General features: G+C 46.6%; 1 protein-coding gene across 22 annotated transcripts in view, besides 1 other annotated feature; it reads right to left on the bottom strand.

The window, feature by feature from the left end:
* Window positions 1–23,286, bottom strand: part of MICAL2 (microtubule associated monooxygenase, calponin and LIM domain containing 2) — a 251,551-nt gene that overhangs the window by 154,212 nt on the left and 74,053 nt on the right. For all 22 annotated transcript variants that reach the window (NR_144419.2, NR_144417.2, NR_144420.2 and 19 more), the window contains 1 exon segment: window positions 3,472–3,679. Coding sequence is in view for 16 of the 22 variants with exons in the window: in NM_001393937.1 (NP_001380866.1) it covers window positions 3,472–3,679 (208 nt within the window). In the remaining 6 variants the exon portion in view is untranslated.
* Window positions 14,493–14,787: an enhancer, noted in NCBI's record as "tiled region #12121; K562 Activating DNase matched - State 5:Enh". NCBI's record gives its function as "activates a minimal TATA promoter and a strong SV40 promoter by Sharpr-MPRA in K562 cells {active_cell/tissue: K562}" and the evidence as "EXISTENCE:reporter gene assay evidence [ECO:0000049][PMID:27701403]".

The raw sequence follows: 23,286 nt of genomic DNA, 5'->3' as shown, positions 1-23,286 counted from the left end.
TGAGCACAGCAGTATACCAACAATGATCATTACTGAGCGGGATTATGCACCAAGAGCTCTGTGTTTTCTCATCTAACTCTTACAGTGGCCCTTTGGAATCGTTATTATTCTCATTCTGTAGATGAGAAATTGAGGCTTAACAAAGTTAAATGACTTGCTCAAGGCGACACAGAGCAAAGCTAGAACATGGACCCACATCTGTCTGATTTCTAGACCCTGTTCTAGCTGCTAGATGATGCTGTAACAAGAGAAGCTCTGTCTTTCCAGCCTCCTTCCCCAGCTGGGCTCTGGGTTTGATGAAATGAAGAGTAAAGGGCCTCAGTGAAGACCGTGATCAGTGACTCATTACATGGGGCCTACGCCTCAGCTCTTAGACATCCAGTGGTGAGGAGTGGGTAGGAAATTTTCCCCACAAAGCTGGGTCATGGTTCCCCATCTCTTACCCACACTTCAAAACTCCCCTAGTGAGTGGAATCTCATTTCTGTTTTGTCTCCTGCCATTCAGCACAAATGCGTATGCCTCCAAATACTTTTCTGTAGAGTGAGAAGTTTTAAACTTTCTGTGGGCCCTTCTGTATTTGGTGGGTTTGACTTACTTAGTATTTATTGAGCATCTATACTATGTCAGGTGCCATGCTAGGCACAGGAGATACAGAACACACCCTCTAATGGAGGGAACAGAGGTAAATAGAATGGGGCAAGACATGGTGGTTGGGGGAGGGTGATGGTGGTAGAACAGGGCCTTAGTGGGGGTCCTGGAAGCCAAGAGAGGAGGGACCAAGAATATCAAATCCCACAGAGAGAGGAAGGGCTGTGAAGGTGACAAGAGCCCAATAAACTTGGGGGTTTGGGAGCTTTTGGAGACACTGCTGAAAATCTCTTTAGCACACAGGTGGGGAAGACAGCAGACTGCGACGTTAGAAGGTTTGAATGGAAAGCATGGACCAAGTCTACGCCCTTCTTTCTAGAATAAATACCTTATGGCAAGGAAAAGTGGCAGGGCAGCAACAGGGCTGGAGGGCTGGCATGAGGGGAGGAGCAGGAAGACTCAGTGATGGGGCAGGTAGAAAGGAAGGAAGGAAGCCAGAGGGATTGGAATTGGAAAGGAGGCATAAGCTGTGATCTGGCATGAGACACGAGGAAGGAATGGGTGCTGGGGCAGCAGGGGAGAAAAGCGGGCCTAGAACAGGAACACAGGAGGGAGGCCATCTGCTAGGAATGAGGTCACCGTGCTGGAGGTTTGGAATGGCCACAGTGGGAACTGGAGGAGGAAGTTAACACAGACATGGAGAACTGCTGAGCAGTGCTGAGTATGATGGTGCAGCTGAGGCTAGAGATGTGGCTGGGGTGATCCAAAGCCAATCAGCTTAAAGAGCCCAATCCACCTCCTGCCATGAACCACCCTGCCAGGGGAGACCTGGCCTTTCCTTATAGTCCTGAGGTTCCTACTCAGTACGGTTCCAGCACACAGTAGGTGCTCAATAAATTCTCCTTGCCTCCTTTCTCACAAGTACTGGAGCTACCCTTGACAATGATCATTCTGCCTGTCTCAATGTTATTTCTAGAGTCCCACCGGCATTACGGCACGCTGCAGGATTTCCAAGGACTAGGGGTTCAATGAAAGCCCCATCAATGAGGGCAGAGAAGGGCTCCTGGCCAGGAAGCCAGCCCAACCAGCCCAGGGCCCCACAAGGCATCCTGGTACCCAGTTCTGCCCCCCAAGAGAACTTGATGAGAAAGTGGTGCTCAATACAGTGGTTCTAAATTGGTAACCGACATACATTCTTCCATAGGCGGGAGAGCACATCTTGAAAGCTGACACTGCAGCTTTCTGAGTAAATCCAAATTTCCACTGGACTCCTGGAATTTTCTCATCTCAAAGTGTGAATAAACTCTGGGGGCACAGCTGGTAAATTCTCCTGTGTCTGAATAAATTATACCCTATGTGACTGATAATTCTCTCCAGTTGTTCCCGCCCAAGCCTCATTCCTTTTTCCCATCAATTCTTGTCCTCATAAGAACATGGCTCTCAGGGCCCTCCTCCCACCTACCCCTACAGAGAAAGCAGCTCTGGATTCTGAAGTCTGGGGACGATGGCTGCTTCTTGCTCACTGTACAGCATGGGATGCAATGTGTTTTCCTGGGCACTTACTATGTGCTAGGCATAGTGCAAAGCACATTACAAACTTGACCTCATTTAATCTTCTCAGCAATTCTAGGAGACAGAAATTAATCACACTTTACAGGAGATAAAACTGAGGCTTGAAGAGGGTAAGGGATTTGCCCCAAGCCAGATAGAAATGGAAGAGACATATTTTGGACCCAAATCTGTTCAAACTCTTGAGCTTTCCCCATAGTGTTAACCTCCCTTTCATGAGTCACTATTGCTATACAATCATCCCTGAGTATATGCTGGAGATTGGTTCCAGAACCCCTGAGTATGCCAAAATCCATGCATACTTAAGTCCTGAAGTTGGCCCTGTGGAATTCAAGTATACAAAAAGTCAGCTTTCTATATAGGTGGGTTTTACATCCTGCAGGTGTTTGGTTGAAAAAAACCATGTATAAGTGGACCCTTGCAGTTCAAACCTGTGTTGTTCAAGCGTCAACTGCATATAAAACAGCTAAAGACCTCCCCACTGCAAAGCTGCAGGAAGGAAGGCTGCCTTTCCCAAAACCCGTCTGCACAGACCTAGCCCAGAGAGCTCCAGGCTTGAGGAACATCAGAGCAGAAGGGCCTCAGCACTCGTCTCTCCCTATATAAGCATTCAGGGATGCCCAGGACCTGAAGTCCACATTCTCTATTTTCCTTCCTATTCTGGTTGAAGTCCCATCATGATGTTCTCTCTCTTTTTAAAGCTCATATTTTTAAAACTTTGGTATGGGATCCATCAGGAAACAAGGATCCAATTATTTCTTTCCTCTGCTCTAAAACCTGCCATGGCTCCCCAGCAACACCAGCACGATGCACAATGTCCAAACTCCTTTGTATGGAAGGTCTTGACTATCTGGCCCATTAATGGTTTTGTGTGGCCCCTTCCTCCAAATTCCTTTAGCAAGTGTGACTAACCCTGTTGAACACATTACCACCAACAAAATCTTAATGCGCTCCATCAGGGTGCAGGCTATGCTATTTACCTCTGCCTCTGTTTCTCTGTTTCACTCAATCATCCAACAGATGTTTATCAAGCATCTGCTATGAGTCAAGCACTCTTTCATGTCCTGGAGATAGTCTGGTGATTAAGGCATGCTGCAATCCCTGACCTCATGGTGCTTACAGTCCACTGGGGGATAACCCAGGGCCCAGAACAAGGCACAAAGCAGGCCTTTTACTAGTTGTCTGTTAGTCTGATATATGGTGCCCCCAGGGACTAAGATGGAACAAGCTGGGGACTCCTAGACCTGGAGAGATATGTCCCACCCAGGGTCAGTCCCCTCCCTTCATGGGATATCACCATAGACTCCACTCACTGATATGGTCGATGGAGCCAGCACAGAACTTCCCATAGAACTTCTTGGCTCCCAGGCCACGAAGGTCATGGATGGTGAAAGGCCAGAGGTGTAGCACGTTGTTCCGGGAGAAGGAGTCCCTCTTCTCCACCACGACCACTTTGGCTCCCAGGTAGGCAAGTTCAATGGCAGTGCGCAAGCCACAGGGTCCTCCCCCAACTATGAGACACTGCAGAGGTGAGAGAGGAGAGAGACTCTTGGTAACCTCTAGCATCACAGACACGAACCCCCAGTCAGCAGGAAAACTGAAGCGCAAATCCCACTCTTCCTGAACCAACCAGCAAGTGCAAGCTGTGTACCTGTTAGGGCCTGTCATTCATCCACCCAATGTACCTTACCTGTGGGCCTACCACGCACCAGCCACTGCACCAAGCCCTGTGAGGAGTGCAGAGGTAAAGGGACTTGGCGAGGAGGCACAGTAAGATGCACATGAACTTCAGAGTCAAAGTGAACTGGGTTGAAGTCCCAGCTCCAGCATTTGACCACTTAGTTTCCTTATCTGTGTGGGTCTACTACTCTCCTCATAAGGTTATTGTAAATAAGATCACTTTTAAAAAGCATATGGTACATCTTTGTGGTCTTGAATTAGGTAATAGTGTCTTAGATATAACAGGAAAAGCACAAACAACTAAAGAAAAAATTAATAAATGAGACTTCAAAATTAAAACTTGGTGCTTCCAAGACCACCATGAAGAAAGTGAAAAGACAACCACACAGAAGGGAGAAAATAGTTGCACATCATATATCTGATATGGGACCTGTATCCAAAACATATAAAGGATGTTCACAACTCAATAATAAAAATACAAATAGCCCCACTAAAGACTGGGCAAAGGGATTTTAGTAGACCTTTCTTCAGAGAAGATATACAAATGGTCACTAAGTACATGAAAAGATGCTCAACCCCATTTGCCTTCAGGGAAACACAAATTAAAGCCACAGGGAGAAATCACTTCACACCCACTGGGACGGCTGTGATAAAAAAGAGAACAGCAAGTGTGGTGAGGATATGGAAAAATTGAAACCCTCATACATTGCTGGTGGGAAAATAAATTGGTGCAGATACATGAAAACAGTGTGGCCATTCCTCCAAAAGTTAAACATAGAGGTTTAAACCACAGGAGCTAGCAATTCCACTCCTAGATATATATATCCAAGAGAAATGAAAACATGTTCACACAAAATCCTGTACGTGAATGTTCATGGCGGCGTCATTCACAATAGCCCCAAAGTAAAAGCAACCTAAATGGCCACCACTGATGAAGAAACCAAATGTGGTATATCCGCACAATGGAATATTATTCAGCCATGAAAAGGAAAGAAATTCTAATACATGAATGAACCTTAAAAACACTGTGCTAAGTGAAAGAAACTAGATACAAAAGGACACATATTGTATTTCGTTTATATGAAATGTCCAGAATAGGCAAATCCATGAGACAAAAGTGGATTAGTGATTGCCAGGAAATGGGGGAGGGAGAATTGGGGAATGACCGCTAATGGATACAGGTTATATTTTTGGGAAGTTCTGGAATTAGATAATGGTGATGTTGCATAACTTTGTAAATATACTAAAACCACTGAATTGTGTACTATAAGAGGGTAAATGTGAATTGTGTCATAATTTTAAAAAGCGCATGAGAAAAAAACATGGTACAGAGCTTGGCACCTACTGGTGTAAATGTCATTCTTATTGCCTAGACCTAGGCCCTGTCTTCTAGGAATTCTCAGGCTAGGGGTAAAATACCTAACTTATAAAATAAATAACTAGAACCTCTTGTGGCTGGTCTTTTTCTGGAGCCCAGACGGAAAAGCTAATCCTGCCTGGTAGGTTGGAAAAGATTTTCACAGAGGAGAGTCTTTAAAATTATTATTTTAGCCTACATTTGTTGAACACTTACTGTGGGTTGAACGGTTTCAAGTGCTTTCTGTGTTTTAGCTCTTAATCCTCACAACAAATCTAAGGAACTATTATGGTGCCCCTTTCACAGATGGGGAAATTGAGGCACAAAGCAGCTGCTTAATTGGCTCATGCTTTTACAGATTGAAAGGGGGAGAGCTGGGATTCAAACCCAGGTAGTCTTATTCCAGAGCCCACCATGCTGGACTGCTTCTGGTTTGCCAGGAATAAAAAAGAAAAAAGAACATTTCAGCAGAGGTAACTGCCCTTTCAAAGAGAAAGAGAAAGAAGCTCAAGGTGGATGGAGAGAAGGATACTTTGGGAGAAGAGACGGGAAGGAGAGAAAAGAGATGAGAGTTGGTCTGCAGCCAAATGGTAAAAGTCTTTTTTTTTTTTGAGACACAGTTTCACTCTTGTTGCCCAGGCTGGAGTGCAATGGCGTGATTTTGGCTCACCGCAACCTCTGTCTCCTGGGTTCAAGTGCTTCTCCTGCCTCAGCCTCCTGAGTAGCTGGGATTACAGGCATGTGCCACCATGCCTGGCTAATTTTTTTTGTATTTTTAGTAGAGATGGGGTTTTTCCATGTTGGTCAGGCTGGTCTTGAACTCCCAACCTCAGGTGATCTGCCCGCCTTGGCCTCCCAGAGTGCTGGGATTGCAGGCGTGAGCCACTGTGCCCGGCCAGTGAAAGTCTTAAGTGCCAAAGGCGTATTTTATGGCCTTGGTCCTGTTGGCATTTGGGACATGTGGGCAGAAGTGACAAAACAGGATTCTGTACAAGTCCCACGCTCGGTCCTCAATGGACACTGCATGCTGAAAAAGACAAGGATACTTCCCCACAATGACCTAGGATAGCTACATTCGGCAAAAGCCTTTTCATCCACAGAAAATCTTACGAGGAACATCGATACTGTCTAAAACCAGAGCAAAATGGCAATACTCTGGCTGAAAGAATGAGAGGAAACTCTTTCCTAAGGCAGGAGTTTGCCTGGGGGATCTGACTACCCCCAGCAAGGCGTCAGGCAAGGGAATGCGCACCCACTCCTCACTGCTTGACATTGCAGAGGCATCTGGTAACTGCCCTTCTGCTTGAGATCAAACCTTATCTTAAAAAAACACATTCCCCTTCCTCTAGCAAACGTTCCATCATCCAGTTATCACTCAGCTGGGCCTGCAGGGTCCCAAAGGGACAGTGCAAACAAGCATATCAGGAGCTCCCACACCACGATCAGTGTGGCTTACTGGTTGGAACCTTCCAGAGAGTTTGTAGACACCTAATTAGGGGAAATGAAGTCACCACTGAGATCCAGCTGGAGACTTCAGGGAGTGAGTGGGTGTGCAAGCCCACGTGCTTCCTCTCTGGATAGAGCCACCGGGAAAGAACCAAGCCCCGCTTCCCAAGCCCAGCACTGCTCTTTATCTCACTCCACAAACAGCTCCTTGGCTTGGACATAGCCAGACAATGACAGTCATTTCAAAGCACGACTCCAAGCCCCGACACTGGTGAGGTTTGCTTTGGGGTTAAGTCTGGATTCACTGCATTTCTTTGCAGTTAGTACATCTTTTCCTGTTTTGGAGCAGGGGTAGAAGGATGTGGGGTGAAGAGAGGCAGGAAAGAAGGAGGGGAGCCCCCTGCATCCTTCTGTCCACCAGGCCCGACCCAGTACTGCTCCCTGGACAAGGCAGGAGACCCCTTTCCCACCAGTCAGGGAGCTGCCATGCATTTTGCACGCAAACAGTAGCTGGTGTACAGTTTCTGATTCTCTTGGCTAAACCTAAAATCCCATTGGCGAAAGCTCGGTTTTCCCACCATCCTGGGCCCCAGTACATATTTCGGGCCTGAAATTTCAGAGATGCCAGTCATACCGTAATCTAAAGTCAAAGCAAATACCAACGGGCCTAATTATATAAAGGGAGAAAATTCGGTACAGATGTTATCAAGGCCAGAGAGATGGCTTGTTGGCAGGGGCCAAGTCAGGTCTTCTCTGAACGCACTTGCTGTGATTAATATGGGAACTCGGTGTTCTGGCAAGAGGCCAAATACCATGGCAGCCACGTGCCCGGGCAGAGGAGTGGGAGAGATGAGGACTTCCCCAGCATGCCCACTGTAGAAGCTCTGGATGCTGGATGTGGTCCAAACAGACCACAGATGCAAAGGGTTGTGATAACTCGACCCGAAGGAGCTCTTTCCTCAGACCCAGCTAGGCCTTATGTCCAAGGAAGGAAAGCTTTTCATTAAAACTCAATGAGATTTTAAGCTCCTGCCCCGCGCTCCCATGAGCTGTGTCCTTTCTGCTTCCCCAGAACCAGCTCTGCGGGTCATATTTTCCGTGTCTAACCCACAGCCAGTCCAAGGGTTCCTCTAAGGCTGCCCCTGTCCTCTGTATTTCTGTGTGTTCAGAGCCCAGTACCAGGCCTGCTACTTAGGAGGCCTCAATAGACAGCTGATGAACTCTCCACACCCTCTCCACCCATCCAGTTCTGGCTCTCCATTCACAACTGGGATGTTTCAGTTCACACCAGTTGGGGGTTCACATTTGCAGATTTCCACCCAGACTTGGGGAGCCAGGGTCTGCCAGGGCCACCAGCATCATGGATGTCAGCATATCTGTGTGCTCAGGTGACATAAATTATTACCCAGTGGGGAGCAGGGCAGAACCAACACCTGCAGGAAATCCATTGTATAGATAAGCTCGGCGGTGTTCAGGCCTCCACGTTAGCACAGAGGAGAGACAAACGCCTCATGGAAAAATCAGCTCTTTATCAAGGGTCAGGATGGGGGGATGGTGACCAACTAGCCCACAGTCAGGACACAAGGACTGGGCGGCCCCAGCTCACGTGTGACTTCTGCTCCTCCCCAGGGGAACCTGCAAACACAACCCACTTCTTGACATGGTGCATCTTCCAGCCGCCCCTCTCACCAGCCTACAAGTGGGCAAGTGTGCTGGGGCAGTCAGGAATGCATAAGAGATTCAGTCCCCAGAGGGAGATGCCGAGGGGACCAAGTGCTAAGCCAGGGGTTAGCAGTCTGCAGGTTTCATTTCCACTTCCGAATCCTGCCCTTGTGTTCCTTGAGAGCTGTGTGTGCAGACACTGCAGCGAGGTCGAGTGCAGAAGCTAGCACTTGACCAGGGTGTGGCGTTCTCCAGCTGGCTTACCCACCCTGCACCTCACCTAGAAAGGACAGTTGTGAGACCTAACTGCACGGTGCCTGGCACATTCTATTTGCCAGGCACTGTCCTATTTGCTTTGTGTGTTTCATCCTTGCAACTACCCTATGAAAGTGTTATGATCATCCCCACTTTATAAGTGAGGTAACTAAGGCACTGAAAAGTTAAGCAACTTGCTCCAGGCACTCTTATTAACTCTCTTTTTGAGTAAAGAGGGTAAGAAATGTCTTTAAAGTCACATAACAAATAAGCTGTCAGATCTGGATTTTAACCCAGGTACTATTGGTCTAAAGTCTATGCTCTTACCGGCTTGACTGACAGTGAAGCCCGACCTCAGTGGTGAGGTCAGGATGAAGTGAGAGGACTTGGCTCCTTCCCTGCATTGAGCACACTGTGGCCTCCTGAAAGGAGCTGGGGTTCAGGCTGGGTTCACAGGGGCTCTGCAAGGAACGAGCAAGCCAGGTCCAGCCTGAGCTTCATGTGCTTCCGCAGGGTGGGAAATCATAGGCTGGACAGAGCTTGAGCCTGTGCAAGTCACACTGGCAGGTGCCACCACAGTGGGAGTTTGGGCTTGGATAGTGCAAGCCTCCTTTGGTGAGGGTGGCCCTGGCAGCAAGCTGGGCATGGGGGAGGTCATGCATGGTGCTGTCTTCCTGGTAGCCGCAGTCCTCCCAGCACACTGACCTGCAGGCCAGCTCCCCAGGGCAGTGCACTGGTGCCAGGGACGTGCCACCATACTTCCTGGTGTGGCTCTGCAGCCTCCCTGGCTCTCAGTACCAGCCACTTATCTGAATCCAGGCAGGAAGCCCCTGGCTGTTACTGGTTTACCGTGAATAAGAACAGCTTGGTTCAGAATCGCAGGATGGAGAGTTTTCAAATTCAAGGTGCCACCCACCTGCCAGAATGTGTGTGTTGGGGGAGGGCTTGCAATAGGGACCTGGCTGCACAGCCTCACCCCTGCAGGGCAGTGCTGGGGTTTACTCATGAGAGATGGGGTTAACACTTACTGCCTGCTTATAATGTACAAGAACTGTGCTAAGCATGTTTTAAGAAATGCATCTCACTTGATTCTTACAGTAACCCTGAATTAGGCATATTCATCATCATTTGGCACATAGGAAACTGGAGCTCAGGAAGGTTAAATGACATAGCCGTGGTAACAGAACCAGGGTGAAAACCTAACCTCTGATTCCAGGGTACATGCTCAAAATCACCTGAGGTTCTAGCTGTGGAGGAATCTCTGAGAGGGGGTTGGCCAGTAGGGGCTCCCCAGGGGAACTTCAAGTGCTGCTCTGGGAAAGGAGTTACATCTCATCTGACTTGACATGGCCCTGACATCTCCAGACTCTCTTCTGTATCCAGTTATTCCTGAGTAACAATTACACACCACTTATCAATCTTAGAAATTTACAGAAATAAAATGGAAAAAGGTATCCTATGCTTTGTACGTTCCCTAAAAAAACCAACTAATTCCTCTGAGAAACATTCCGTTTCTCTCTGTTCTTCCCTTCCATCCTGAGCCAGTGCTCTCCTCCTCCATGACCAACTGTAACCAGTAGCTGCAGGGTCTGGATTTTCAGGGACAGTTTTATTCGCAGACATTCTGCCTTTTGGCCTCAGAAGTTCGTTCACACTGCTGCCTAGTTTAGAAGTTCTAAGCACAATCCTCAGGGCTTGTACCTCTCTGGGTAGCGGTTGGGTCTCATGGCATCTCCCCATTTAACACATAGGTTCCCCGAAGTCAGGGTGTGAGGGCCACCCCTGTACCCCTGCCAGCAGCAGAGTCGAACACCTCACTTGAGATCTGAAAGTATGGAGTGAACAGGTCAACACAGTCCCATCTTTGTTGTTGCCTGTGCATCTCTGTTGGGAAGACCAAGAATAATAATAGTATTAATAATAGCAATAATGAAAACAAAGCTACCGCTTATTGCCTGCTTATAATGTACATGAAGTGTGCTAAGCATACTATAAGAAATGCATCCTGCATCGTTCTTACAATCACCCTGAATTAGGCATGTTCATAGCCATTTGGCAGATAGGAAAACTGGAGCTCAGGAAGGTTAAATGACTTGGCCATGGTAATAGAACCAGGGGAAGAACCTAGCCTCTGAGCCCATACTCAAAATCCCAATCCTATATTAATCCTTCCAGGTTTCCATAAGTGTTATGTGGCAGAGCATCTAAGATATGTAAAGGACTGGTGAGATGGCTCTGGGGATTACAGGCTCATGTTCCCAAACCTCAGGAAATTGGCTGGGAACTAGAGAAGAAGAAAAACAGATACAATGAATGCTGGATTGTTTGGTATTACCTCTGACTACTTTAGGAATTTAGAGAAGAAACAGATTAGTGACTTCAGTCAAGAAAGGATCCCTCCAGGAGATAGACCATGAATGGAGAATTGAGGCTGAAGATTTGCAGAAAGAAAACAAATGGCATGCTGAGAAAGAGGGAGGTGGTTTGCAGGGCAGTGGCCAGTGAAGTGAGGGTCAGGGGTTGGTGGGGAAGGTGAAACCAGGAGAGTAGAGAAAGAAAGAGAGAAAGAGAAAGAAAGAGCCAGATCGTGGAGGGACTTGGATGGCAGACTGAAGAGTTTGGACTTTATTCCTCCCCTTTGGATTTTATGAGCTTAGAATAGGATGGAGGTGCTACTTTAGGACAATTGGTTCCAGAGCAATAACAAAGATGGTAAGAAGAGAGAAAAGAAACTAGAGGTAGAGAGGCAGTCAGGGCAGCCTTTGAAACAGTTGACCTACTTTCTTGACTCTCTCCTGCCCTGCAGTTGCTCAGGCACCCTTGCTGCTCCTCCTCATCTTCCTGTCCTCTATACCTGGAAGTGCCTGGGGCTCAGCCTTTATACCCTTCCCTTATTGACCCTGACACCATCTACTTCCATGACTTTAATTACCATCTACATGTTGATGGTGCTCAACCCTGAATATCCCACGGAATCCAGCCAACTGTGCACTGACATTTCTATCTGCTTCAATACGCATTACTCACATAACAGATCTACAACTGAACTCTTATTCCCTCCCTGCAAAAACCTGCTTCTCCCCCATCAACATGGTCTTGGTAAGTGCTACCTACTTTTCTACTTGCTTAGACCAAAAATCTGGAATCAGTCTTGGTTCTTCTCCTCTTACCTCACAACCAATCCACCAATAAATCTTGTTTACTATCTTCAGAACAGATATAGAATCCAATCAATTTTCACCGGCTCACACGCTGCCTCCTTATCCAAGTCATGGCCATCTCTCCTTTGAACTGATATCAGGGCTCCTATCTGGTCTCCCAGCTTCCACCCTTGTCACTTTGCAGTCTGTCCCCATACAGCAACCAGAGCAGTCCTCCTCAAGTCAGATCATGTCACTCACTCGTAGCTCACATCGTTTCATGTCTGCCTGTGGCACTCAGAAGTCAGAATCACAGGATGTGGCTAGGCCTTAGGACCCTATATGATCTCAACCTACAGTTTCCCTTTTGTCCTCAGCTCCCACCACCCCCTCCTCTCACACTCCAGCTGTACTAGCTTCACTGAGCCCACACATGGGCTTTTCACTCGCTTTGTCTTCTGTCTAGAACACTCTTCCTCTAAAAATATATATATTGCTATTTTCTAATACAAAAAAAAAAAAAAAGAAATCTATTGCAGAAAATACACGGGCCTAGTTTTATTTTTCTTCATATTCAACTCTAGTTTTCCAAATAGCATTTTAAACATTTGTAAATATTTCCAGCATCTACTTTTATATTTTCCCATTGTAATTTTTTTGTTTTTAATCTAGTAGCTTTACAACATTTTTTGGCAACATTTCATTATAATACTTTTCAGATATATAGAGAAGCTGCAAGACATCCAAATACTCCCCACCTAGATTCTATGATTAGATTTTGTTCTCCTTGCTTTAGCATGTATCTATTCACATCCGTCTATCCTTCTACTCACTAGTCAATTTATCTTATTTTGTGGTGCATTTCAATTAAATAGCAGAATCAATACATTTCCTCCCAAATATTTCAGCATGTATCTCATTGACTAGAGTTCAATATTTGCTCAAGGTTTTGTTTTGGTTTTGTTTGGTTTTTAGAGACAGGGTCTTGCTCTGTAGCCCAGGCTGGAGTACAGTGCCACAATCACGGCTCACTGCAGCCTCGAACTCCTGGGCCCTAGTGATCCTCCCACCTCAACCTCCCTAGTAGCTGGGACTATAGATACACACCACCACACCTGGCTAATTACAAAAAAATGTTGTAGAGAGAGGGTCTCCCTATGTTGCCTAGGCTGGTGGGCCCTCAAGCGATCATCCTGCCTCAGCCTCCCAAAGTGCTGCTGGGATTATAGACATGAGCCACTGTGTCTGGCCCAGGTTTAAGGTAAAATGTATATAAAATGAAATCCACATACTCTTTTTTCCTACTGCCTGTATAACTGCAGAAAGGTGCACATATCTTAAACATATCATTTGATGTGAAAAATTACAATATATTTTCTTTTTATAGCCTCGGTTTTCTCCCTGTGAATGGTCATTCTTCTAACTGACCCTGTAAATTCTTGTCCCTTGGGCTCTGGTGCTGGTACCCTGGTGTTTTCTTTTAATAGCACAGAGCTCCTAGTCGAGGGGTAAGGCCTGGATCTGGCCAGCGATCTTCTTCTGGAGAACAAAAGACACAGGGTCTTCCAAGACCCAAAAAGGGGTGTCAGATAAATCTCACATTTCTTTAGGAGAAAGAGGGGAGGCTTCTGAGATGGGCTGAGTCAACATATATTCAAAGCTAAAAAATGTAGGGCCAGTTGTAACCTACATGTGGGGAAAAAGGCAGAGCTAAAATATATAAATAATATAACATCCGGAAATAGAGCAGTTCATTTCTGCCATTTTCTCTTTTTTAGTTGCTTAGTAACTGTTAAAGCCTATCAGTTCAGTCATGTAGGGGTCCCCGCACTGCAATAATAATAGCTAACACTCTTTACTACATGCCAGGCCTGTTATAAGGCTGTATTCACAACAACGAACATCCATCATCCATGTCTTACAGCTGTAGCTATTCAGTGGTGAAGCTAGGATTCAAATCCCGGTATCTGGTTCAGAGACCATGATTTTAACCATTGCACCATAGAGATGACAGCAGATAGTGAGGGAGAGGACAATGGCATCCACCACCTAGACTTTCCTAGCCCAGAGAACTCCAGGCAGGACTGCAAGCAGTGCTGTCAATCTACCCAATGACAAACATTTCCACTCAGCAGGTGCCATGGCCGGGGGCCACTTGAGGTCAGTAAAGGTGTCTATTAAGTGTCTTCCATATTATTGCCAGACCTGCTTGAAGTATATTCACTCATTTAACCCTTGCAGGAACTCCTAAGAAAATGGCATTGCTGCTCACATTTTGCAGTTGAGGAATTGAGGTCCAGAGGCAAAATGATGTAACATAGCCAGCATGTGCTGAACTCTGACTCCATATCCAGCACCAGTTGTCACATGTATCAGTTCATTCAAATCTCACAACAAGCCCAGATAACAAAACCAAGACATGAAATGCTCAAGTAGCATGCTCAAGGTCACCTCACACAGTATGTGGAGGAACTGGCATCTGAATCCAGGTGGTCAAGCTCCAAAGCAGAAACTCATATCCATCATGTTACACCTGCCTGGCTTCACACAGCTGATAAAGGGTGGAGCTGGGAGTCACTGCCAGGTGTGACTCCTGCATTGCCCTCTCTGCCACCTTTCTTTGAAGTATTAGGGCCCACTGTCTTTCTAGGCCCTTCTCTCTCCCTCACAGGCACTTGAATCCTCTACTGGCACCACCTCATCCCATGACCACTCATGAGCACAGACAAGGCTGATCCTATCCATGGACAACAGCTTTGTCTCAGGCTGGCCTCTATAGAAGGGCCATGATGAGGCCTGGAAGTGGATCTGTATGAGAAAAGGTCAGGCATTCCTTCAATTTCACCAATTCCTATTGCTCTAAGGTCAACAAGGGAGAGATTACTTATCTGAGTTGAGCAGCTGTTCCTGCAGCCCAGAGCTGGAGCCAAGGAGTGCAAGGCTACCATGCTATTCTACAGCCGTATCTGGACCGGCTGCTATGTCCACAGCTAACCACCTTGCCAAGAGCCTTAGAGTGTTCCCCTTCTCTTTCTATGAAGTCTCTCGCCCTATAGACAGGTGCTGAATGAACACAGCTTAGGAGTCTGAACATGATTTAATTCAGGCCTGCAAAGAGGAAGACTCACCAGCCCTTGAATGAACATCACTGGGAAAATAGCGGATATGGTGGTGTAGTGAGGGACCTGAGACTAGAAGCAGGCAGCCTGTTTGCTCGCTATGTAGCTTTGAACACAGCAGCTTATTACCTCTGACGTCAGTTCTCTCAACCATAAAAGAGGAATAAAGCAGTTCCTACCAGGCAGGGTTGTTATGGGGATGGAGTCAATACACTGCAGAATTGTTCATAAAATAGCCTCGTATGCATATGGCAAGCACTCAGTAAATGGTAGCAATGACCCACGGCTCCTCTCCTCCCTCCTTTCTCAGGAGGAATCCTTTATTTTATTTTTTAAGACTGAGTCTCACTCTGTCACCCAGGCTGGAGTGCAGTGATGTGATCTCAGCTCACTGGAACCTCCGCCTCCTGGGTTCAAGTGATTCTCCTGCCTCAGCCTCCCAAGTAGCTGGGATTACAGGTACCCATCATCGCACCTGGGTAATTTTTGTATTTTTAATAGAGACGGGGTTTCACCATGTTGGCCAGGCTGGTCTCGAACTCCTGACTTCAAGTGATTCACCCGCCCGCCTCAGCCTCCCAAAGTGTTGAGATTACAGGCGTGAGCCACCGTGCCTTGCTTCTGAGGAGAAATCGTTTAAGTGAAATCAGATTTTGACCTCTAAGAGCTCAGAGTCCAGTCCATCCCATTTGGGGACATGGACACTGTGATCCCAGCAGTTCAAGGCTGATGGCAGTTTGCATCGCTTGACAGACACACTGCCTCTGTTGGGGTATCTCCAAGGTGGTGAGTGAGTCCCACCTGGAGCCTGGGTGCCCAGGAGGCTGCTGAGCTGACTTTTCCTGCACTGGCGAGCTGCCCTGCCCACCTGCACTTGCACGTGTGTGCACTGTCCAAGCTGAAAGGGACCTTAGATCCCTCAGATTAGCACATTTTTTTCTATAAAGGGCCAGATAGTAAATATTTCAGTCTTTTCACCAAATGCAGGCTTAGATCATGCTGTCCAATGCATCCCTCCCCATAACCCCTTGCCCTTGGTGGGTTTTGGGTGGCGGGCGGGGGTGGGGGTGGGGGTTCCAAGAAGTTATTTCAGGGAGCCCAGAGGCCATTTTTTGTACCTCTGAAAGTCTAAGGGAGCTCCTTGCTGGTCCTCCTGCCCTGGACACCCTTCCCTCAGATCTTTGAACACAGCTCCTTCTCACCATTCAGGGCTGAGCTCAAACATCCCACTCCCTGGAGATGATACCTTCTCAGCCCCACCCATTACTCTCTCACATTTCCATTTATTTTCTGCATGGTGCTTATCATAACCCAACATCTCTCTCTTTTTTTCTTTTTCTTTTTGGAGACAGGGTCTCACTCTGTTGCCCAAGCTGGAGTGCAGTGGTACAATCACGGCTCACTGTAGCCTTGACCTCCCAGGCTCAAGCAATCCTCCCATCTCAGCTTCCCGAGTAGCTGGGACTACAGGTGTGCACCACCATGCCCAGCTAATTTTTTTGTATTTCTTTGTAGAGACAGGGTTTCACCATGTTACCCAGGCTGGTATCAAACTCCTGAACTCAAGCAATCCACCTGCCTTGGCCTCCCAAATTGCTGGGATTGCAGGTGCATCTGGCCTACATTTTTTTTTTTTTTTTGAGACATAGTCTTGCTCTGCTGCCCGGGCTGGAGTGCAATGGCATGATCTTGGCTCACTGCAACCTCCGCCTTCCAGGTTCAAGCAACTCTCCTGCGTCAGCCTCCTGAGTAGCTGGGATTACAGACACATGCCACCACACCCAGCTAATTTTTCTATTTTTTTTTTTAAATAGAGATAGGGTTTCACCATGTTGGCCAGGCTGGTCTTGAACTCCTGACCTCAAATGATCTGCCCGCCTCAGCCTCCCAAAGTGCTGGGATTACAGGCGTGGGCCACCGCACCCGGCCATCTTTTTTATTTGTTAAATAGTTCACTTTGTTTGTCTCCCTCTAGAACATAAGTTCCACTAAAGCAGAGGCCTTGTCTCTGATTCATAGCTGTATCCCCAGAGGCTAGAGCAGTCCCTCATCCTCAGCAGGTACTGATAAATATTTGCCAAATCAATCAGTCAATCAAATCAAATCAAATCATACCTTTACCCCAAATCAGGATGCACACTGAGGCTAACTGAAATATAATAGTCTATATTTAAGAAGATACTGTCTTGGGGCTTTACATATATTATCTTATTAAATAAGGGATAAACTAACTTATAAGGTAGGAACTATTTTATCTCTTGATTTCAGGTGAGGACATTGAAGTTGAAGTCCTGCTACTTAAAGATGTTTATCTGGTAAAAGGCAGAGCTAAGTTTCAAACCCAAATCTGTTCAACTCTGGACTCATGCTATTAATCACCACTCTTGCTTAATTTTGCATGGGATTGTGACAATTTAGTGTGAACACAAATTATCTGTGGCTGATTAGAAATGCTGACAGGCAGTGATGTGACTTTACACTTTACAAAAATGGAGAGAAGATATTGTCACCTAACATATGCAACCTTGTCTGTGAAACAACTTATTCTGAAGCACAAGTTTTGGGGTCAGGGGAGAAAAGGAATCAAAGCTGAAAATAGGTGGGAGTTTTACTACCTTTACCAATGAAATAAGTAGCTTCAGATACAGGAAACAACTTCAGATGTCACAAAGCCAGTTAGAGGTGACAGAAAATCCTCAAGTTTCCCAAGAGAAAAGCCATTTAGTCAACTGCACCTTGATCCATCTTCTGGGGGTTGGATACACATCTGATATCCAACCCACAGAAGATGGTTACGTAGGAGAGTCCAAAACCCTGATTCTTCAAGAGACAAATCCCAGGGTGTTTGCAGAAGAAAATCTTTCCCACCAGAGGAACTTTGAGGCCTTCCAGATAGTAAGAGAACAGCGAGCCCCTTAGAGCAACTCACACATGTCTTCCAGGCCAGACAACCCATACTCACCAGCGGAATGTAGTTTTGAGTCAACTTGCAGCTGCCACAAAAGAAGTTAGCAAACTTACTCAGAAGTTCTTGATAACTCCATGTGGGTCACCTTACACCATAAAGTGGTTTGTAATTAAAATGTTTTTGAAACTGTGAACAGACCAAAGTGTCTAGACATCGGGAGGCTCCAATCCTACACCATCCCGACTGCCCATGATTACTGTATGATAGATGCCCACAACCTGCCAAAGAACATGTTATGTTTTCTCTATCAGAGCATCTTTAAGGGCAAATTTCTGGAAAGCCTCCCCTCACAGCCTGCTGGGAGCTGCCTGGGAAATCTTTGGCCACCAAGAGGAAGGCATGCCTGGGCATCTAGGGCACTTTCCCTCTGGTGGCAGGCCTGGGCTTGCAGAACGTGAGCCATAGCTGGCTCAGGCTGCCTGCGGAAGCCCACATATGGAAGGCAGGATTTCCGGGACCCAGGTCTAATGCATCATCGCTGTAACCCTTTCAGAGAAAACAAACTGAGTCTCCAGCTCAAAATCAGGAAGGTGGTGGAGGTAGTGGGGGTGGTGAGATAAGGTAGGTTAGGGAATATGTAATTTAAACCCTGCAAAACTATTAAAGGGAAATAGGGCATTTGGAAACTGCTACCCTAGCTCCCTGTAATACCTGATCCTACCCATGTACCAACGGGAAAAGGATATCTATCATTTATTTATCTATGCATTCATTCAAAAAACACTGAATGAACAGCTATTTTCTAGGCATCATATCTGGTGCTAGGGAAATACAGATGGATATGTCACATTTTCTGACCATAGGTACTCGCACTTTAGCAAAAACAAAAACAAAAACAAAACAAAAAAAACATCAAGGTTCCTGAGCAAGAGAACTTTACACATAGTGGGGACTGGGAAAGAGTAGAGGCAAGGACCTGGAAGGAAGCCACTTACAGCAGATGCAGAGGTCCCACTAGGCAGGAATGTAAAGGAGGGGTTGGATGAAACACAGTTAACGTATAAAGGTTAAGAGATTACAAATTCAGGCTGGAGGGTAGAAGGAAGAAGTGAAACTGACTCAGGTTCTCAGAGTGGGAGAATGGTGATACTGTGCTCTAAGACTGAAAATCAGAAAGAAGAATAAATTTAGGGAGTGGGAGGGGAGAGGAAGTGTAAAATTATGAATTTAGTTTTCTATTTGTTGAGTGTAAGGTACTCATTGAAAATCTAAAAGATGTGTAGAAATCCTAATAGTTGATCCAGAGAGTCCGCATAGTGACACAAATTTTAACAATAATGCTAATTTCTACTGAGTGGAGGTCTACCATGTGTCAGGTATGCTATGTTCAATTTCATTGAGTCCTAACAAGGATCCTATAAAGTAGGTATCATTGCGTCCATTTCACAGATGAGGAAGTGGAGGCTCTGAAATGTTACATAACCTGCCCAGGGTCACAGGTATCTGACTCTGGCCATTATGCTCTTTCTACTGTGCCCTAAGCCCTCCAATTTTAGTGTCATTGTCAATGAGAGAAGATTGGTTCATCAAAAGTGAGAGTAAAACAGTGCTATACAATAGAACTGGGTTTCTCAACCTCAGCACTACTACATTTGGGACCAGATAATTTTGGTTGTAGGGTGTTATCCTGTGCATTGTAGGATGTTCAGCAGCTTCCCCGGCCTCTTCCAACTAGGTGCTCGTGCCAACCACGCCACTCTCCCAACAGCATGACAATAAAAAAAAGTCTTCAAATATTATCAAACGTCCCTGGAAGGCAAAACAGCCACCAGTTAAGAATCACTGCAATAGAAATATAAGGTGAGCCACACGTGCAATTTTAAATTTTCTGATAGCCACATTTTTTCTAAAAAAGTGACAAGAAATAGGAAGTTAATTTCAATATTCTAATCTATTATATGCAAAATATTATCATTGCAACACGTAATCAATATAAAAAGTATCGATAAAATATTTGATAATCATTTTTTATACTAAGCCTTTAAAATGAGGTGAGTATTTTATATGTACAGCGCAGCTCAATGCGGACTTACCACATTTCAAGTGCCCTAGCCACGTGGCTTGTGACTCCCATAATGAACAGCAAAAAGCTGGAGAAAAAAGGAGGGAATTGCCCACATATATGGATGGGAGGAGGAGGAGGAGGAAAAGCAACACTGAACAGTGGGCAGAGAGGGTCACAGACAACCTCTGGGGTCCTAGCAGTTCAAGCTTTTCCTTCCCCACCCCACCCCGGGAACTGCCCCTCCCTATCAACAACCCGCCTACCCCAGGGAACAAGGGCAAAAGACGAGACTGAAGAAAGGTGGAGGGAAAGCCCAGGGAGGGTGCCCTGGGAAGCCCACCCACACAGACAGCAGGGAGTCAACCTGGGCTTTCAGGGAGGCAGCTGCCAGCCACCAGCAAGATAGCCGAGAAGTAAGACAGATACGGACAACTCATCCACTCTCGGGAACCCCCAGTCACCTCCACCAGCAGCTGCTGACACAGGGCTGATTCCAGCCCAAGGAACCGCTACAACAAAGCCTTCAAAACCACAGCGTCTGAGTCCATCTCAAGTGAGTTCCAGAAAAGCTGAGGCCGCTGCCTGGGACCACTCAGTAACAAGTGACATATCCTTGTGGTAACTCAAGTAGAAGGGCCAGGGCCTGCCGCTGTCTGGACGCATTCAGTCCCTCATTTGCTCACTGCTGCCCCAGAGGGGGAAGTGTTGCTCTCCCCATTGTAAGGATGGAGACCCAGGACCACACCCCTAGAAACAACCCTGGCCAGGATGCTTCACTAATTATTTAGAAAAAAATATTAACTGAAGCACACATAATTCACAAATAAAGCAATCTTAGAGATGTTCTCCCTTGACTATGAAACCATTTAATGAATTCATGTTTGATGTAAGGAACAAGAAACATAAAATACAGTTAAAAACCAGTCAGCTCCATGGGATTACAGAGGAGGGAAGAAGAGAAAGAAAAGATGAATGAGGGCAGGAAGAGGACAGAGGAGGACACAAAGGAAGAGGAAGAGGCAGAGCCCCACACGGGGAGAGAGCAGAGGGGACACAGGATCAGAGTCCTCGCTGGAGCCTCAGGCAGAAAGCACACCGCTGCTCTAATTCATGGAGGGAAATCCTATTCACCACTCAGGGACTACACTCAAGAATTAGCACAGTCGGGGACAGGGACACAGGCAGATCACCTTGAGAACCAGGTGTAGGAGGGCAGATGGGTACACAGCCCAGCTGCTCATGGGCCCGTGGGCCTCAGCCTCCCCATCTGGCTTCAGGAAGAGACAGCTCTGTATCCTCTGAGCTGGCAGCATCTGAAGGGGACCTCCCTGCCGCTGATGTCTGGGGTCCCCACCACCTGTGCTGGGCACCCTTGAATGGCCCAATATGTTCAGAGTCAACTCAGCTCCCACTCTCTGCACTCCCAGTAGGCTCTTGAGCCCGTAAGAGGCAAACCTTCCCTGGGTCCATCTCTCCTATTGTCCTTGTTTTGCAGCTGGGTAAACTGAGGCCCAGAGACTGGAAGCCTGCCTGTGTTATTTCCACTATACTACAGGCAAAATGAAGAGACCATGCATCTTTAAAAAAAAAATCTTTTTTTAAAAATTGTCTAGGCGCCCTCAAATCGTGGGATAAATAATCTTAAAGGGGAAGGTCACATATAGTATTTATATACACATACAGTGCATGTGGAAAGGGCTTTGTAAATTATGATGCCTTTTACAAATGATAGTTGTCATTAAATTTACTCTAAACAGAGAACTCACTGTCCTCTACACAAGTTTATGGACCTACTTTTAAAGGGTCTAAGGCCCACTTTGAACTTTGAGAGTTCCTTCTAGCCTGTTATTCAGTCAAACCAAAAAAAGAAAAAAAAAGAAAAAAACTCCCCCAAGCCATGTCTAACCTTTGCTTCATTCCTATTCCTGCGTAGGCAAGATCTTGTTTGTTTTCCAAAACCCACTTCTTAAGCACTGGAGAGCTCTCAGCCACTTCCCACAAGTTTCCAGCAAAAGTGCAGGCGCCAGTTAATCCTGTAACGGAAGACCTCCCCCTGCAGCTGGCAAGAGGGCTGTCATCTCCCTGCCTAAGTGGAGAGGAAATGCTCGCCAGTGCCCAGAGCTGGGGCTCCATCAGAGCTACTGGGCCAACCCTCTAGTTCCATGACTCCTTTGCTGAGCACCTGCTATGTGCCTGGGAAGCACATCATATGTAGCAAAGAGAGTTTCAAAGCCTCGGCAGTATTTTGAAAACATGATCGCAGGCTGGCGTTGGGATTCAATTTGAAGCAGTTTATAGGAAGCATGACAGAGTACAAAAGGGTCACTTTGGCTTCCTCCAGGCCTCCAGAGATCCTGGATCTTCTTTTTTACACACTGTATATGGGTTTGGACGTCTTTATTGCCTCTGCTGGGAGAGCTGAGCAGTGCGGAGTACCGTACAAAGAACACTAAGAACTAGGGCTGAACAGAGAACTAAGAATTAAACACTGAAATTCTCCTCCCCTTTAGGTACCTGGTCTCCTCCAGCCACAGTCTGCTCATCCATGAAATGGTAACAGTAACACCTAACACACATCAGAGACTTGCTAGGAAGCTCAGTTTCCAGCCCCAGGCAATACAGCAAGTGACGGCTTTGAGATGGGTAGATCCTGTCATGGGGATGGGAAGGAAGCACGAGTGGCTTGGATCAAGATGAAAGGATATAAGGAGAGAAGCTTATCTTCTTTGTGGGAAGGCATGATGGAATGGCCAATGTGTATACGTCTTCACAATTCCCTCTAGCACTGAACAACAGTAATGGTTTTTATCCCAGCAGTGCTTATTGAGTGCTTACTGCTTTACCTCCAGCATCTAGAAGAGTGCAGTCATGACTCCACCCATTCATCCACCCATCTACTTACCCACCCATCCAACCATCCATCCTGCCACCCACCCATCCCCCCACCCATCCATCCATCCAGCCACCCACCCATTCATCCACACACCCACCCATCCATCCCCCCACCCACCCACCCACCCACCCACCCACCCACCTATCCATCCCCCCACCCATCCAGTCAGCCTTGCTGAATGAAAGCTAACTGCTATTCTAGGTCTTCTACAAACACCTCATTTGAACAGGAAGAATCTTGGAGAGGGCAGATGGGGACACCCTCCTTGGGCCATCGGCCTTTTCCTAACTCACTAGGCTACATGAAGCCTTGCTTCCTCCCCTCCTGCTATGCAAACTTACAAGGCAGATGATTCAGGAGGCCTGGCTAACTAGAGAGATTCTGAGCACAAGGCAGCTGAGCTGACAGTTCCTTTGAGCAATCTGTGTGGTGGGATAATCTCACCAACACCTGAAGCTAGACAGGGGCATTGGAAACTGTAGGGCTCAGTATGGGTCAGTTACTGCTGTTGTTACCAGCCACCAAATTAAACTCACCCAAACTCTCTCCCCACAACTGACTGAAACAATGATTCTCCTAAGCTCATTCTTGTGACAGTAAAAG

Source organism: Homo sapiens, chromosome 11, assembly GCF_000001405.40.
Source record: "Homo sapiens chromosome 11, GRCh38.p14 Primary Assembly".
In the NCBI taxonomy this organism is placed as follows: Eukaryota; Metazoa; Chordata; class Mammalia; order Primates; family Hominidae; genus Homo; species Homo sapiens.
The sequence above is the reverse complement of the archived record's forward strand: the minus strand, read 5'-3'. Positions and strand labels throughout refer to the sequence as shown.